Here is a 16,454-nt window from a genome sequence, read left to right on the forward strand (position 1 = left end):
TGTTATTGGTGGTACAAAGCATTTTGAAGACAGTCTGTATAAATTGCATTATATAACTTAAAATGCTCTGTTATTGGAATATGAGGATAGAATTTTGTAACACTTTACCTCAAGCACACTTATAAAGGATTTGAATGATTAATCCGTAAAGTAAATCTGTGTAAATAACAAGTGTAGCAGTATATATGTTGTTTTTAAATTTTGATTTTTGAACCCCAATTTTGTTGAAGTTATTATGCCATCATCAAAAGATAGAGGATTGAAAAAAATGACATCTCATCGCTATTTCCAGCCAGAAAGTGTTTGAATTATCACAAATTTTTACATTACAATAAAGGCACTACATTTTATATAGTTGTTATATTTGGTAGTTTGTAACTGCTGGAAGTGGTTATTAAAGAGAAACTTTAGAGGTGATACCAACATGGTTCTGAAATACTTGTACTAATGAAGAATTGTGAGCTATCTTAAAACATCTGGTATTAATCCAGATATTTCAGTACTACATAATTTCCAAGGTTATACTTCTTTCTTAGTAGGAATGTTAAATATACAATTTCTTGTCCTCTGTCTGCTAGTTTAAGGTTTCTTTCAGTTTGTTCAGTTTGATAAAGAATCAGTAAACTTAATTGAGAAGATGAATGTTCAAAAGAAAGATGTATATTAAACCCAGAGAATGTCTGAAGTGAGAGCTACATAACCAATTCTGGTAGATGTTAGTTTTATATTTTCAGATACTCAGAACTGAATTTTACATTTTATTATTAATAGCTCTCTTGGTAGGATTTCTTCCTCTTTATAACTCTTTATAATTTTAAACTGGATTATTTTGGAATCTATGATACAACGGTAACAGCATGAAATTGCATATTATACAACGTTGCATTTGAATGCAGGTGTCCCTTGACACTTCTTGATTAAACAAGTTACTTAACCTTTTCTGTAAAATGGAAGAATCTGTACACCTCAAGGTTTCTTTTTTTTCCTGTTCTGATAATTAAATTAAATAATCTTTATACAGTCCACCCTAATCCAAGACCATCATTCAGTGCTTGAAATCTCAGATAGTACCAAACTCTATATATATTGTGTTTTTTCCTAAACATGCATACCAGGATGAAGTTTAATTTATAAATTAGGCACAGTAAGAGATGAACAGCAATAATTAATAGTGAAATAGAACAATTATAACAATATTCTGTAATAAATTATGTTACGTGGATGTGGTCTGTGGTCTGTCTCTCCTTTAAAATACCTTATTGTACTATACCCACTCTTCTTCTTCCTGTGATCTGTCAACCTGATAACTGAGCAACCCACTAAGTGACTAATGGGAAGGTAGCATGTACAGTGTGGATATGCTCTACGAAGGCATGATTCGCAGCCCAAGGAGGACACAGCAGGATGGCATGAGATTTCATCACACTACTCGGAACAGCCTGCAACTTAAAGCATATGAATTGTTTACTTCTGGAATTTTCCATTGAATATTTTTGGACTGTAGTTGACAGCAGGTAACCGATACCACAGAAAGTAAAACCAAAGATAAGGGGGGACTACTATGCATTTCCTGATGTAAAACAGAAAAAAAAAAATTATTTCACATTTTTCTAGCGGTGGTCTCTATTTTAGAAAAAAAAATGCTTCCAGATCATAAATGCAAAACTCGTGGGCATACTTTTCTGTGGATATGATGGAACGATTCTCATTTGTTTTTCCTAAGGTTTTCCAAATAATATTTCCATGAAAACGTATCTTTTTTTAGTATTGAGGTATGATTTATATACAAAAAAATGCAAAGATCTTAAATATGCAACGTAAAATGAGTTTTGACTGTGCTTACATATTCTAATGGAAGGGTTGGGTGTGGTGGCACTCGCTTGTAATCCCAGCACTTTTGGAGGCCACGGCAGGCGGTTCACTTGAGATAAGGAGTTCAAGACCAGGCTGGCCAACATGGTGAAACCCCGCCTCTACTAAAAATACAAAAATTAGCTTGGCATGATGGTACACATCTGTAGTCCCAGTTACTCGGGAGGCTGAGGCAGGAGAATCACTTGAGCCCAGTAGGTGGAGGTTGCAGCAAGCCAAGGTTGTGCCACTGCACTCCAGCCTGGGCGACAGAGTGAGACTCTTTCTCCAGAAGAAAAAAACAAAAATTCTAATTGAAGTTTTGTGAATGTTCTTGTTTTCATTAATACATATTTCTGATTAAGGACAAATCTGAGGGATTTCGTATGAATTAACCAGCTTAAAAAAAAAAGCCAGTTTAAAGAAAAGTTGTTCAGTAAGTATGATTTTGGTGTTTGCAAGTCAGTGTAACATTTTTGAAATCTATAAAGAAAAAGAGTTGTGAAAAATGGAAGTATATTTGATAAAACCAATTTATGGGTAAAAAATTGAGTAAGTGTGTATAAGTATGTGTAAGTGCTCCCTTGTAATACACTGATACACGTGTGATACATTAATTACTAATGACGAAATATACTTTGAAATCTCTGGAGAAATATTTTAATTATATGCTAATAATATGTACTAACTACGAAATATCAATATTTATTTGTTAAGAAACTTCATTTACAAAAAACTGCTTACCGAAAAAGAAAATCATTTTTTAATGAGCTCAGTGTAAATACGAAATGAGTAACTGGTTTTATTAATTTTAAAGAACATTTACTATATAGTTATTTAAATCATCACTTTTTCTCTACTATTTATACGATTTTTTTGAGTTTAAGTGTTCTTCATACCCTTTTGAGGACTTTAGTAATAGCTTCATTTGAGAAATTAAAAAAATAGAGAATTGTAATTAGATGCTCTGAATTAAAATCCCTGAATATTTTACTGTAGGGTTTAAATGTATTGTATATTTAGTTGTTTTAAAATATATTGAAGGATGTATTTGAAACCAGTTCTCTTTTATGGTCCTCTGTAACTAATATCATTTTCCCTACAATAGACAGAATTCTGGACTTACGACTTGAAAACAACGCTATGACATTATAAATACGTATGTTTAAAATACAGGTCAAATGTTATAGATAGTAAGTATTGGAATAGTTTAATAGCAATAAATATTATCCTGAGGCAGAATTTTAGAAAAAAACTTCATTAAAGGAGGTGGAATTTGAATTGGCCTTAAAATCAAGGTGAATTTTGGTTTATCAGTAAGACGAAACATCATTTTTTGAGATGAATCAGGAAAAGAGATGGAACAGCCTTAAGAACCTGTATAGAGGTCAAAATGGGGATAAGATTGTTTGAGAGTAACGAAGAGACTGCTTTTACTGAAATATGTGATTTTGTTCATAGAAATGTAAAGAAAATTGTACATAATCTGGTATCCCAATCATATCTATCTCCAGACTCCTTCCCAGTAAGATCAGATAAACAGTTTTGCTTTCCATCCTCTATTAATTTCCTTGTCACACTGTACCTGTTTGAAATCCTGTTGCAGTATTACGTACTTATCTCAATATAATCTACATTAAAATATTCTGTTTATAGTTAACCATCTTTGGAGTCTTTCCATGTCAGCCTACTGTAATTTCAACTTTTTATTTCTCTAGCACTCATTTGGACATATAGCTAAATTGGCCACCAAAATTCTATTCTTCATTTTGTACCATGTAACTTAATTGCCAATTTTATTAATTTGTGATCTGCTGAATCCTATAGCACCTCTCAAGAAGAAAAATACTTTTATCCCTAGTTACAAAGGAGGTTAACTCAAGCGCAGATTCACATCATATTCTGCTAAATCTTGAGTGTTAAACAAAATACTTAAAAGAGAATGAAGATTCTATTTTGCCTTGCATGATTAGACATTTTTAAGTATATATACTATGTTTCCTTTTGAGCCAAGACACTATGTTTTGTATTGTGTTTTGCATTTTATGAAACAGAATATCTAAGTACTAGATATTGATTGATTGATTGATTCAAAGATGTTTGACATAGATTGCCAAGGGTTTTGAATTACCTCTAAACAATTTTAAGTTTTCAAATGTTTGTGAGTAATAGATTGATGAAAGTAGTGATTTTGGAAGATTTAACTAGAAGTGAGGAATTGGAAAGTAAAGATTAGTGATAATCCAAGCGTGATACATTAAACATTCAGACAGAATCAGTTGGGTCAAAGTAATAGAAAAGTGGCAGTAGAGAATAGGAAATGCCCGTTGGCTTTGTGATGGATTGTAAGGTAGAGGTGCCGAAGTTGAAGCTTAGGTCATTAGAAGAATGGTTGTAATATTGATAGATGCATAGAGTGCTGGAAAGATAAATTTGTTTGCATGGAGAATATTGACATTTATGTGTACAGTTTTGATTTTAGAGTGTTAGGACATTCAAATGGGATATCAAGTCAAAATGTAGTCAACCAGTAGTTACATCATAAGATGTGAAAATATAGACCTGGCTGGGATGGGATCTTTCATGTAAAAGAGCTGTTGAATTTAACGATACACATCTTCTAAAGGAGAGAAATATAAAAAGAGAATAGAACTTCATGGACAAATAATGTCATGTATTTTTCTTATAATTAACATACAATTTACCATTTTGGTGACCTCTTTAATTTTCATAAACTTAGATATATAACTTATGTTGATTTTATTTGAAGTTCATATATCCTCAGTTGAACTTAAATGGTCTATATTTGTATTACTACAAATACTCAAATATGTGTTTACTGTGAATTTGGACATTAAAATAACTAAATCTTTACTATACATCCTATCAGTTTTAATGTTGTTGCCTTTTGTATAAAAACACACAGTAAACAAGAAATCTTGTCGTTCTTCCTTCAAATATGTACATATATATGTATATATTTTTTCCTTTAAAATATATTCAGGATCAGATCACTTCTTACCACCTGCTCCAGGATAAGATCACTTCTTACCACCTGCTGTCAAACTGCTTTACGTCATCAGCATCTTTTGTCTGGATTACTGTAGTAAACTTTCCCTGGTCTCCTTGCTTCTATGCTTGCTTCGTTATAGTCTGTTCTTGACATAGTTCATGTCACTCTTCTTACAGTCTTGCTTTTATGACTCACCATGTAATTCAGAATAACATCTAAGTCTTCACCAGCACATTGACCCTCTTACATTTCCTTGAACATGTTTCTATCTTAAGGCCTTCATGCTGGCCATTATTCCATCTCTCTTATATGTGCTTCCCCCAGAATCCATGTGACTAACTGCCTTGCCTTGTTCACAACTGTGCTCAGATGCCAAAGATGTCTCTGTGGTGTTTATCCTGACCTTCTTCCTATTTAAATTGCAACCTGCTCCCCATTGTCAATACTTCTGACTCCCTTACTTTTTTCTGCTTTTCCTTTTCTTACAGCACTTTGCACTTATAGTATACAGTTCATCACACACACACACACACACACCACACACACACACACACACACACACACACACAGCCCCATGAGACTAGAGATCATTGCTTTGTTCACTATTTTATCTCACCTGCCTAGGAATGTAACTTGCCATGTATTAGACACTCAATAAATATTTGTAGAATAAATAAACTAACATACAACAACAGTAGCTAACACTGAAGGCTTATGTCACACTTTTCTAAAAACTTTAACTTATTATAACTACCTTAATGAAGTAGAGATCCTTCCATCCCCATTTCACATGCCAGGAAACTGCGCCATATGTTGCCTAAATAAAAAGCTCAATTCTACACAGAATTCAAGCCTCGCAGCCTGGTATGGAGCCAGAGATCCAAATCATTTGTGTATGAGATTTCTGTTAAACATGAGTATTGTGTTTAGTGCTATAAAGGTTTGTGTTTGTTTTTGTAGAGACAAGCTCTTACTCTTGCCCAAGCTAGAATGCAGTGGCATGGTCACAGCTAACTATAACATCAAACTCCTGGGCTTAAGTGATCCTCCTGCCTCAGCATGTTGAGTAGCTGGGACTAGAGGCACTTGCCACCACACTCAAGTAATTATTTTTTGTAGAGACAGTGAGTGTCTCAAAGTGTTGCCCAGGCTGAGTGCCAAAAAGTATTTATAGTAGAAGCAGAAGTGATATATCATTGTTAAATATAGTGTATATATATATACACACACACACACACACACACACACACACACAGAGAGAACATTTCTCATATACCTTGATTCACACTGATAGTTTACCGATTAAATATAAAGATGAATTTTGTTCATCTGTAGCCTTCAAATAGCAAGCTTAAAGAAATATAAAATTACCTCAAAATTTAAGTCTCATTGGGCAGCCTCAACCAGTAACACTCATTATTAGTTAAACCCAGTCTGAAGGCCTGCAAAGCAAAGCCATGGTACTGTCAACCATGTTATATAGGCCTAATGTCTGAATCCTTACCAGTGCCATTTTTATTTCTTAGACACGTTTCATTTATCATACTGTTGTGCTATATTTCACATCAGATGTCAAGATAAAGTCTCTGATGTCAAAGATTTAGAAGCAGTGACTTTCCAGATTTGCTCATCAGAATGCAGTGGTCCTGGACATACAGAGCAAATGGATGACATTAGATTTCTAAAGCTGCTGGCATTAGGTGAACTTTAGGGGAAATGTCATTCTTGAGACCATATAAGAGAAGTTTCAAGAATGTAAATTAAAGCTATCTGAAGTACTGGACATTTTAGCATGATATAATGGCACTAAGAGATTTTGCTTATATTGCGATTGAGGCAGTGACCACAAATAAATACAAATCCAGATAATGATCGAAGGGCAATATAACAAATATGTTAAAAGGTTCCTTATTAAAGAGTAATTCCCTGGCCACCCAGGGTTCTTGTCATCCATGTTCATGTGCTGACAGAATTATGAAAGCATTTTCATGTGAATACTGAAGAGTATTATGGACATTCGTATTCATAGGTACATCAAAAAAAGAAAATGTAAGAGATAGACTATGCTTCGAAGAAGACAATGATTCTTACCTATTTTTTGTTTAAACACATGTTATAGACTTTGCTTGATAATAACATCTTTTTTTATCTCCTAATCACCCCATAAGTAAGAAAAAATGATCTGTACTTAGAAAATGAATTACAGAGTGGTTACATAGCTTTCCTGGGGAAATCATTCAATTTATTAGCAAATCTGGATTAGGGCACAGAGAACCTGTTCCTAATTCATTTCTTAGACAATCACAAGTGCAAAATATTTGGTGATATGAAATGAGTAACTTCATCCTTAATGCAGAATTATGTAAATTTTAAGCCATAAAAGTTTTTTTTGTTTTGCATTTTGGATTTACATTTATAATAATGATATGAGAATATTAATGTTCCTTGATCAAGTTGCTTTTTTTCCCCCAGGATAAAAATTAAAATGGACACACACACAGAGATTATACTTTTCATATATACGTGATGTGACAGCTACAAAAGTAATTACAGCATAGATTTATGTATTTTCTGTATTCACATTAAAAGCTATTCAGTTGAATTTTAAAATGCTGAAGGATGTAATACTTTTTCATTTTGAACTTTTAATTGCATTTAGTTAAACACAAGAAAATTCTATGAAAGTAATTATACATTTCAGTTTTTCTTTGTTACTGAACAAAATGAAATCTGTAAGTCTAGAAATATGTTATCAATAAAACACAAATTACTAAAATTACTTAAGCAGTTCAGTCACAGGACAGACTTTTTAAAGTTTATGTTTAGAAGAAACTTCATCTAGGTTATATTTTTGTTGTCTCAACATTTATTTGGAAAATATAGTAGAATGAGAAGCTCTCTAATTGGTATAGTATTTTTGTATATATATACAAATATATAGTATAGTATACTACTATCCTAATAGTATAGTATTATATTTTTGTTGTCTCAACATTTATTTGGAAAATATAGTAGAATGAGAAGCTCTCCTTTTAACAGTTTTGATCACAAAGTATAAAGTGTTTGCTGAAACACAATTGATTCCCATTAGCTGTCTCACTAGTGTCTGGGGCTTAGGGTTGTTTTACGTTATCCTAGGATCCTGGGAGTTTTCCATACCTGCAGTCTATGTTTTTGTTGGCTGACTTTCTACGGAGGGGCAGCTATCGTGAATTATTTCAGCATAGTCTGCTTAGGGTTTCCTTAGTATTGATGGGTTTTGTTTCTTTCTTTTTTTTTTTTTTCCTTTACCTACAACACCTAGACTACCAGTCTTATTGACAGGGTAATAAAGGTAAAGCTCATCAGGAGAGCTATTTCTCCATTTTACTATCAGGACAGATAACTTTTTATGAAGAAGGGACTGAATAAGACCAAGCATGGGGTCACAGTTAACCAAAAATCTGTGGACTGAATCTAGTCTCTGGTTAGGAGCTGCTAGCCCACCATTTGGTTCTTCCATCTCCAAAAGGCTCAGTTTCTCTCTTCCTATAATATTTACCATGCCTCTTATAGTATTCTAGAGACTCTCTGAGAATACTAGACAGGATGACTGCAATTTGAATTTTTAGAACTATGTCGTTTGTTATGTGGTGTTGTTTACCTGCCTGATTCACTTCATGTATACAGAATCTTCTGTTGCTTGGGTGCAACTTGCCACAGCTCTCTATATGACTTCTGTCTGTAGAGCTCTGGACTCCCACTGTTCCAATGGAAAATTTTTGTTAAAAAACAAACAAATCATCTTACACTGGTAAGATATTTTATCTGAATGTGTAGCAGTTCATTTGTTATTAAAAAAACTGTTTAAATAAAAAAAAACCCTTCTTACTTGTGAGAAGTTTTCCCTGAATATATAGCCTTTCTGAAAGCTTTCACAATATTACACATTGCTCCTTCCCATACAGCCTCCCACAAAATGTAGTTATTTAGTGTTATTTAGTCATAGCTTATAGCTCATTAGTAGTACAAATTTCTCGTCCTACCACAGACCTATTGTGTAGGAGTTTCCATATATAGAGCCTGAAAATCTGTTTTTTAAACAAATATCTCTGGTCAGTTTCATGCACACACTATTTTGAAATTCTTTTGAGAACCACTGACTTAGGTTAAGTATCAACCTTTTTGATCCTCAAATAGGAAAATAAAATTCTAAGATGACTTTTTGGAGTATGCCTGGGCCAGGTAAGAATTTCATACTCCACAACAGATCGTGCAGTAAGTTCAGCAGAGACATTGCTAAACGATGTCCTGCAACTTCCAGTGAAAAGAGAATGGTGGCTTATTGCTGACACCTCACAGAGACAAAATTCTTTGAGTGGCAAGTAATCAAGATTTGTCACTGTTTTCATAAAGAACTGTTTTATTTCTCTGTTGTAATCATTTTTTAGTTGAAGCCAAATATTTAATGAAGTGCTTAGGAATTTCAAGCACAAGATATGTGCAGCCTCTGGGGAAATCCAACAAGTGGCATTTTTTGTCACCTGGATGTAGATAATACCTCTTTATATCTCTTCTTTCAGGCAAATCCAGAAAGACTTGGCCTGAGAATTTTATCATCTATATCACATCTGCCATTTGGTGTAGAGCCTAGTAAGAACTAATGCTGCCTCAAAGAAGGCCCCAAGGATAGGACTACAAACATGTAACTAGTAGGAAACAGAGGAATCTTTTATTAAAATGTTAGAGTGGGATTTAAGCTTATTTTGTGCAATGACAGTGATGACCCAAGATACTTCCTATCTTAAGAGTTCAAAAGTATCCTTTCCTGGACATTAGTATCCTAAAAAAGAAACTGAAAAGAAAATAATTCTTAGTATTTTAGCACACAAAGGAGACTCAGGACTAGTATCATGACTACATTCCCACTAGCTGATAGGTTTTGAAGTGCTATCTTATTCACTTAGAATTACTGAGAGGTATGAACTGAATTCTTTCCCTCTAAAAGTCAGATGTTGAAGCCTTAACCCCGCAGTGTGACTGTTTGGACGTGGGTCTTTAGCAGGCAATTAACTGTAAATAAGCTCATGAGAGAAGGTCCCTAATCTGATTGGATTGGTGGCCTTATAAGTAGAGGAAAGTATAGAGACGCCTACCTATCTCTGTCTGCTCACAAAGAAGAGGTCATGTGAGCACACAGTGAGAAGCTGGCTGTCTTCTGCCCAAGGGGATCCCTCACCAGACACCAATCCCATTGGCACCTTCATCTTGGACTTTGAACCTCTTGAACTGTGAGAAAATAATTTCTGTTGTTTAAGCCATCCAGTCTATGGTATTTTGTTAGGGCAACCAAGCAGACTAAGACACGCAGTAAAAATAAACTGAATCTGTCATGCACAGAAAAGCAGATCTGTCATTTTATATAGACATTGATCAGGAAAACTAGGGCTCTTCTACTGGAAAATCTTAAATAGTTAAGATGAATTTCAGAGATAGGTTCGTTTAAAAACAGCAAGGCAACCCTTTGACTTCTTAGAAGTGTTGTCAAGGAAAATACAAGATTTTTTCCCTCTGTTTCGTTTTTAGGTTGACAGTAAATTATCATGTTTTCTTCCTTCTTTTTGCTTTGGCAATAATTTTTGTATTCATAAAGAGTACTGAATCAGATGCTAAACAGTTGAGAGATTATCACTTAAAAGATTTTCTTAGATTTTGCATGTCCATTGCCCTTGTTCTGGCAGGTAGTGAATAAAGGACTGAAACAGGCTGAAAGGATTTACACTAGTACTTTTTCATGATGTTTTCAAGGAGGGTGAAAGAAAATAGATGGGAAAAGTTTGCATGTCATTTCATACTGATTTGCATAAAACTGCATGACAAAATTGGACTGAAAGAATTCATATAGTTAGTGAGAGATAATCACCCATGTTTCCTCTAGCTGCGGACAAGCTCTTGGTTTATTTTGCAATCATGTATTTTAAAATGCAAGAAGAAGGGACCAAAAAGAGTTTTTGTGGATTTGACCCAAACTGAGACAAATCATCATTTGGGTATCATCCAACACTGTCAAATCTTAGTTTCATTTGTCATTTACTTAATGTTATAAATGGTTCTTTTTAAAATAAGTTATAATTTTAAAAATGATCAAAATTCCAAAATTTCATGGGATTGATGGAAGCATTTTTAATTTTTTTTAGTAAGGATTATATGCCAAAGCAGAGACGCCAGCACTGCTTTATCAGTGAATAAAAGAGAAATAATTAATTTTAACCCTGTGTATTATTGTCTTCAAAATAGCTATTTTCTGGCATATATGTATTACTGAACAACTTTTTGCACTCTGCTTATATTATAATTTACTTTTGATCCCAAGCCCATTTAACTAAAGCAGTCATTGTTAGGGTTAATCAAACACGTTTGTTAGTATCTTTTGCTCTCAAGGCTGATAATATCAGGTTGGGTATATAAGGGACTTGCATAAATTTACAAAAACAAATTACTCACTGGCAAGAGAATTTAACTCAGATATAGTTTGCTATTACTGAATTAACAGTGGGCATCAACCAGTGGAGATTAATTTTACCATCTGTGAGTCATATGACCTAAGACATTAAAATTTGGAATCTCGTTTGAATCTTAGATGACTGATGATGATGATGATGATGATGACGGTAGATTACATTTATTGGCTTCCTGCTGTGTTTCAGGCATTAGGCCATTTTACATGTATTATCAATTCACTTCTCACATTTTATTATTTTGATCAAAGAGCTTAACAATTTGAAGTTTAGAGTAATTTGCTAAAGGTCTTACTCATGAAACCCAGGACAGAGAATTGACTTCAGGGAATATGACTAAAATCGATTTTATAAAGTACTGCACTACATTGTTTCCTTCATGCTGTCAGTTTCCAATTTGCAGATTAGGAAACTGAGGCCCAAATTACTGAACTGATTAAGTAACAACTACTTCATTAAATTGAATGGCTATTATTAACACTGGAAACTGACTTCTAAGTTTAGTTTGCTTTTTGTTACCCTAGCTCTCTTTTCAAGTAACCTTTTGGTCCACCATAGCCATTCTTATTTTCGGAACATTACGTGTTTAAAAGGACTCCTCAAGGAGTATTTACCACTAGCACAATTTAAAAATGTTGAAAAACCAGAACGTACTGACTGGTGTCATCTTCCCAAGAATTCAGTAATAACTTAAGTAAAATCAGGTTTATTTCACATACTGATATATAGTATATTTAGCTTAATTTCCATTTTACTTTTATTCATTCTTGATATTGCCATATAAGAGGTATAGAAACACTAATATTAAACAAAATATATAATTTTTTATTTTCAAGTATGTTACTTGAAATTAAGAACATAGTATCATTCATATATATTGTTTTTTCATATTATGCTATGCTATTTGTCTTCTGCATAAAATTGGGCTTTAAGTAAGTCATGAGTCATGGTAATGAATTTTGTTATAACCTTATTTTTATGAACCTTTTTTTATTGAATCACTTTTTATTTTATGTTGGTTCATATGCTCTATGAAATATTCAATGGGGCCAGGTGCGGTGGCTCACGCCTGTAATCCCAGCACTTTGGGAGGCCAAACTGGCCGGATCACTTGAGGTCAGGAGTTTGAGACCAGCCTGGCCAACGTGGTGAAACCCTATCTCTACTAAAAATACAAAAATTAGCCAGGCATGGTGGTGCACACCTGTAATCCCAGCTACTCTCGAGGCTGAGGCAGGATAATCGTTTGAACCCAGGAGGCGGAGGTTGCAGTGAGCCGAGATCATGCCACTGCAGTCCAGCCTGGGTGAAAAGCGTGAAACTTTGTCTCAAAAACAAAAGAAAAAGAAAAGAAATATTCAATGGATTAGACAACTAAAAAACATTTATATTAATGGTTTCTCAAAATATTTGTTCCTTTGGAAGAATTGATCGGTATCCATTATCAAAGCCTGCACACATTTTTTTCTTGACTATTCACCTGATCTGAAAATGCATTGCCCTTAGTTAAATATATATTTTAGAATAAATTATCCTGAGTTACTGATACGTCCCTCACTCATGAGAATTAGTAAAATATCAGAGAGGAAAATAAATAAATGAACATCATGCTTTAGCTTTCAGGGAATTCATTAGTCAATATTCCCTCTTTCAAAGGATTTTGAAAGTATATGCATCTGTTAGATACAAATTTTTAAGACCAGCTTAAAATCGCAGACCTAAGGTTAATTTTAGGTGAATTAAGTCATTGCTGCAGGGGCCCCATAAATGAAAGCTAACTATCTAAGGTCAATCCTTAAGACTTTTGCAATACTTACTCATTGGTATTCTTGTGCTTACTCTTATAGCTTTTGGTGTGTGCCAGTAATCTCTTTGTTGCACATTAGTAGACAAAATGTATTCTTGTAATTTGTGTAGCTGTAATTTGTGTAATTTGTAAGCTGCTTGAGAATATAGGTATTTTTTCCTATAACTGCTGGATTTCTGTTGCCTGAATTGGTGCCTGATACATACTAATTGATCAATTAAAAATTTGCAAACAAATTCAAGCTAAGTAAATCCTGAAGGCTCGTAGGGTATCTGGTTTTGATGTGATTTTGAAGACACACACAAAAAAAGAAGTACAAAAGTCAAATGTTAGTATACCTTCCTGAATATTATATTTTAAAACTATCAGTTCAGCACACTAAGTTCACTTGTGAAAAGGAAATGAATTTCTGAATGCTGTTTGTTTAGAAGATAGAAACAGCTTCTCGGCCTTTTGGCTAAGATCAAGTGAACAAGATACAAAGTTTGTTGAAGTGGAAACTATGAAATGATTTGTTTGATTACATTTGATCACTTACACTATTGTATATCATACTATCTTACTTGATTTTTAGTAAAGTATCTTGAGGAATATCCTCTTAATCCTATTTTAAAAATAATTGAGGTTAAGTAGTTTGTTCATAATAACACAGTTAGTAGATGGCAAATTCAGGACTGTCTCTAAAGCCTTTCCTCTCTCCTGCCTTATGTATACAAGAAATAAGCTACAAGTGTTATAGATCAGTTTCATGAAATAAGTCTCTAAGGACAAAGTGTGATTTATTTTAACCTGGCTGCATTTTTAAATTGAAAAGAAATACATAGGTTTCTTGTTATTGTGACTGGAAATACAAAATGCATTACATGATATGATGTTTTTCTCACACATCTGAGAAAGCATTGAAGGGTTCTGAGCAAAGTAATGATAGGATAGTTTTGACAGTATTCATCTGAATGACAGATCAACTCTAGGGTAGAGTCAGGGAGAATAAAGGAGGCTATTGCAATCATCTAGGCAAGAGATGATGAGTGGCTGGATCAGACAAATCTTTGGGCCTTATATTTTAGCCTCCTTTCCTAGTTCTTCCTGGTAGCGGTGAAAAGTGGTTGAATTTGGAATGGATTTTGAAAGTAGAGCCAACAGTATTTTCTGAATGATTGGATGTGTGGAGAGGGAGGGAGGGAGGGAGGGAGGAGAGAAGGAGGGAATAAAGGCAAGGAAAAGAGTGAAAGAAAAGTAAGGACAGAGACACAAAGGTGATTCCAGGATTTTTGCCTAAACAACTGGAAAAATTAAGTTACTCTCCTGAGTTAGGGGAGAATGGGACAGAAGCAGGTGCTGGGATAGAAAGGGATATCAGGAGTTTCGTTTTAGCTGTTATCAGACTTCCAGTATATCAGATTAGATACTAATGTGAGAATCAATATAGACATAATTAAAGCCATGAAACTGGATGACAACACCTGGGAAGGCTGAGTAGAGAGAAGAGGCCTAAGCCTGTTGAGCTCTGAGATACTCCAGAGTCTAGAAAGAAGGAAAGGAACAGCCTTCTCCTTCCGGAGGAGGAGGAGCCAATGAGGTAGACTCATCCTCAAGATTGGGGTCCTGGAAGTCAAGTGAAGAAAATATTAAAGAGAATGAGTGGTCAGATGAAGCAGATTTTTCAGGTAGATTAAGGCCAGGAACATTGAGATATGACCATAGGATTTGGTAATGGGGGAGTCCATTGATGACCTTGACAAAAGATTGATCAGAGAAGATACTGTTACTGAAAATAAACAGAAGAGATTATAAATCACTCACCTAGAAGACGTCTGAAGTTATTCTCTAAATTTGTGATCTTCAGAGAGGCAAACTATTTTGCAGTTGTTACGTAAATTTGGCCATATTATCCTGTACTGTTAAACTCAGATATGTTAGTCAGTGATGTAAATATTGATGTTAATTACTTTAACTGTCAACATTTAATTAAAGTTTTTACAAAGTTTTACTTGACGTTCCTCCTCTGTTTTGGTAAGTTGTTACTATGTGGTGGAAAGGGCATACATACCTATACAAACAGTCCTAGGTTTCAGTCCAAACTTCATCAGTTACTAGTTGTGCAATCTTGAACAAGTTAGGTAAATTTTTCTAAGTCTCAGTTTCCTCATTTGGAAGATGACAGGTAATAACTACTTTATGTGATTGTCAATCAACAGTGGACTGGATTAAAAAAATGTGGTACATATACACCATGGAATAGTACACAGCCATAGAAAATGAAATGATGTCCTTTGTAGCAACATGAATGCAGCAAGAGGGCATTATCCTAAGCAAATTAATGCAGTAACAGAAAACCAAGTACCACATCTTAACTTGTAAGTAGTAGCTAAACATTGAGTACACATGGACAGAGAGGGGAACAGTAGACCCTGGGGCTTACTTGAGGTTGGAGGGTGGGAGGAAAGTGAGGATTGAAAAACTACCTATCAGGTACTTTACTCACTACCTGGGAGACAAAATCATTTGTACATCAAATTCCGGCGACATGCAATTTCCCATGTAACAAATCTGCACATGTACCCCCTGAAAAAGTTTGAAGACGAGAAAAAAAAAAGATACCTTCAGAAAACTATCTGAAGCATGTGATACAATTATACATCATAAATGATGTAAAAGTTGAGGCATTGATTTATACTCCAAGGTGTTATTTTTTTTCTCCAGTTTTTTTATATAAATAGAAAATAGGACATTTATTTAAAACAACTGCACAGTCACTGATATTCGTAAGAGAGATTATCAGCAGAAATAATCATGGGAATCAATTTAGAAGCCAAATAATCTAGATGGAGATTTGTGTTGGATTTTCTATAATCAACTGTTATCAACTATATACTACTCAGTAGGGTGAAAACAATTTTAATAATTTTGTTTTGAAAAAATTTAAATGCTATAATGAATTATGTGCATTTATAAAGCTGACTCCGTATTTTAAAAACTTTGATAATGTGGAAAGGAGTGATTAGACATTTGGTCATTTCTAACTTATTTTAAAGGATGAAAAATCATAAAAATGTTTTGCTATATTTTGTACTTTTGCAATACCTCTACAGGAATCATATTTTATGTGTGTATGTTTGTGATAAATCCTTTAACAAGTTATATTAAGTTTGCTTTTGATACTTAGTTGCCACCTAGAGTTTACAATAGTATCATCAACCAACATTGTCATCTATTTGCATTTAACTAATAATCATTTAAAATAATTGGAACTTAGTAGAAAGTAATAAAAAATTAGTAAAAATCG

The 16,454-nt window shown here is 33.9% G+C and overlaps 1 protein-coding gene across 32 annotated transcripts in view; it reads left to right on the forward strand.

The window, feature by feature from the left end:
- The window catches only part of TUSC3 (tumor suppressor candidate 3), a 434,904-nt gene that overhangs the window by 296,928 nt on the left and 121,522 nt on the right, over positions 1-16,454 (forward strand). The gene's annotated exons all lie outside the window — the stretch shown is intronic.

This window comes from Homo sapiens, chromosome 8, assembly GCF_000001405.40.
Source record: "Homo sapiens chromosome 8, GRCh38.p14 Primary Assembly".
Taxonomy (NCBI): Eukaryota; Metazoa; Chordata; class Mammalia; order Primates; family Hominidae; genus Homo; species Homo sapiens.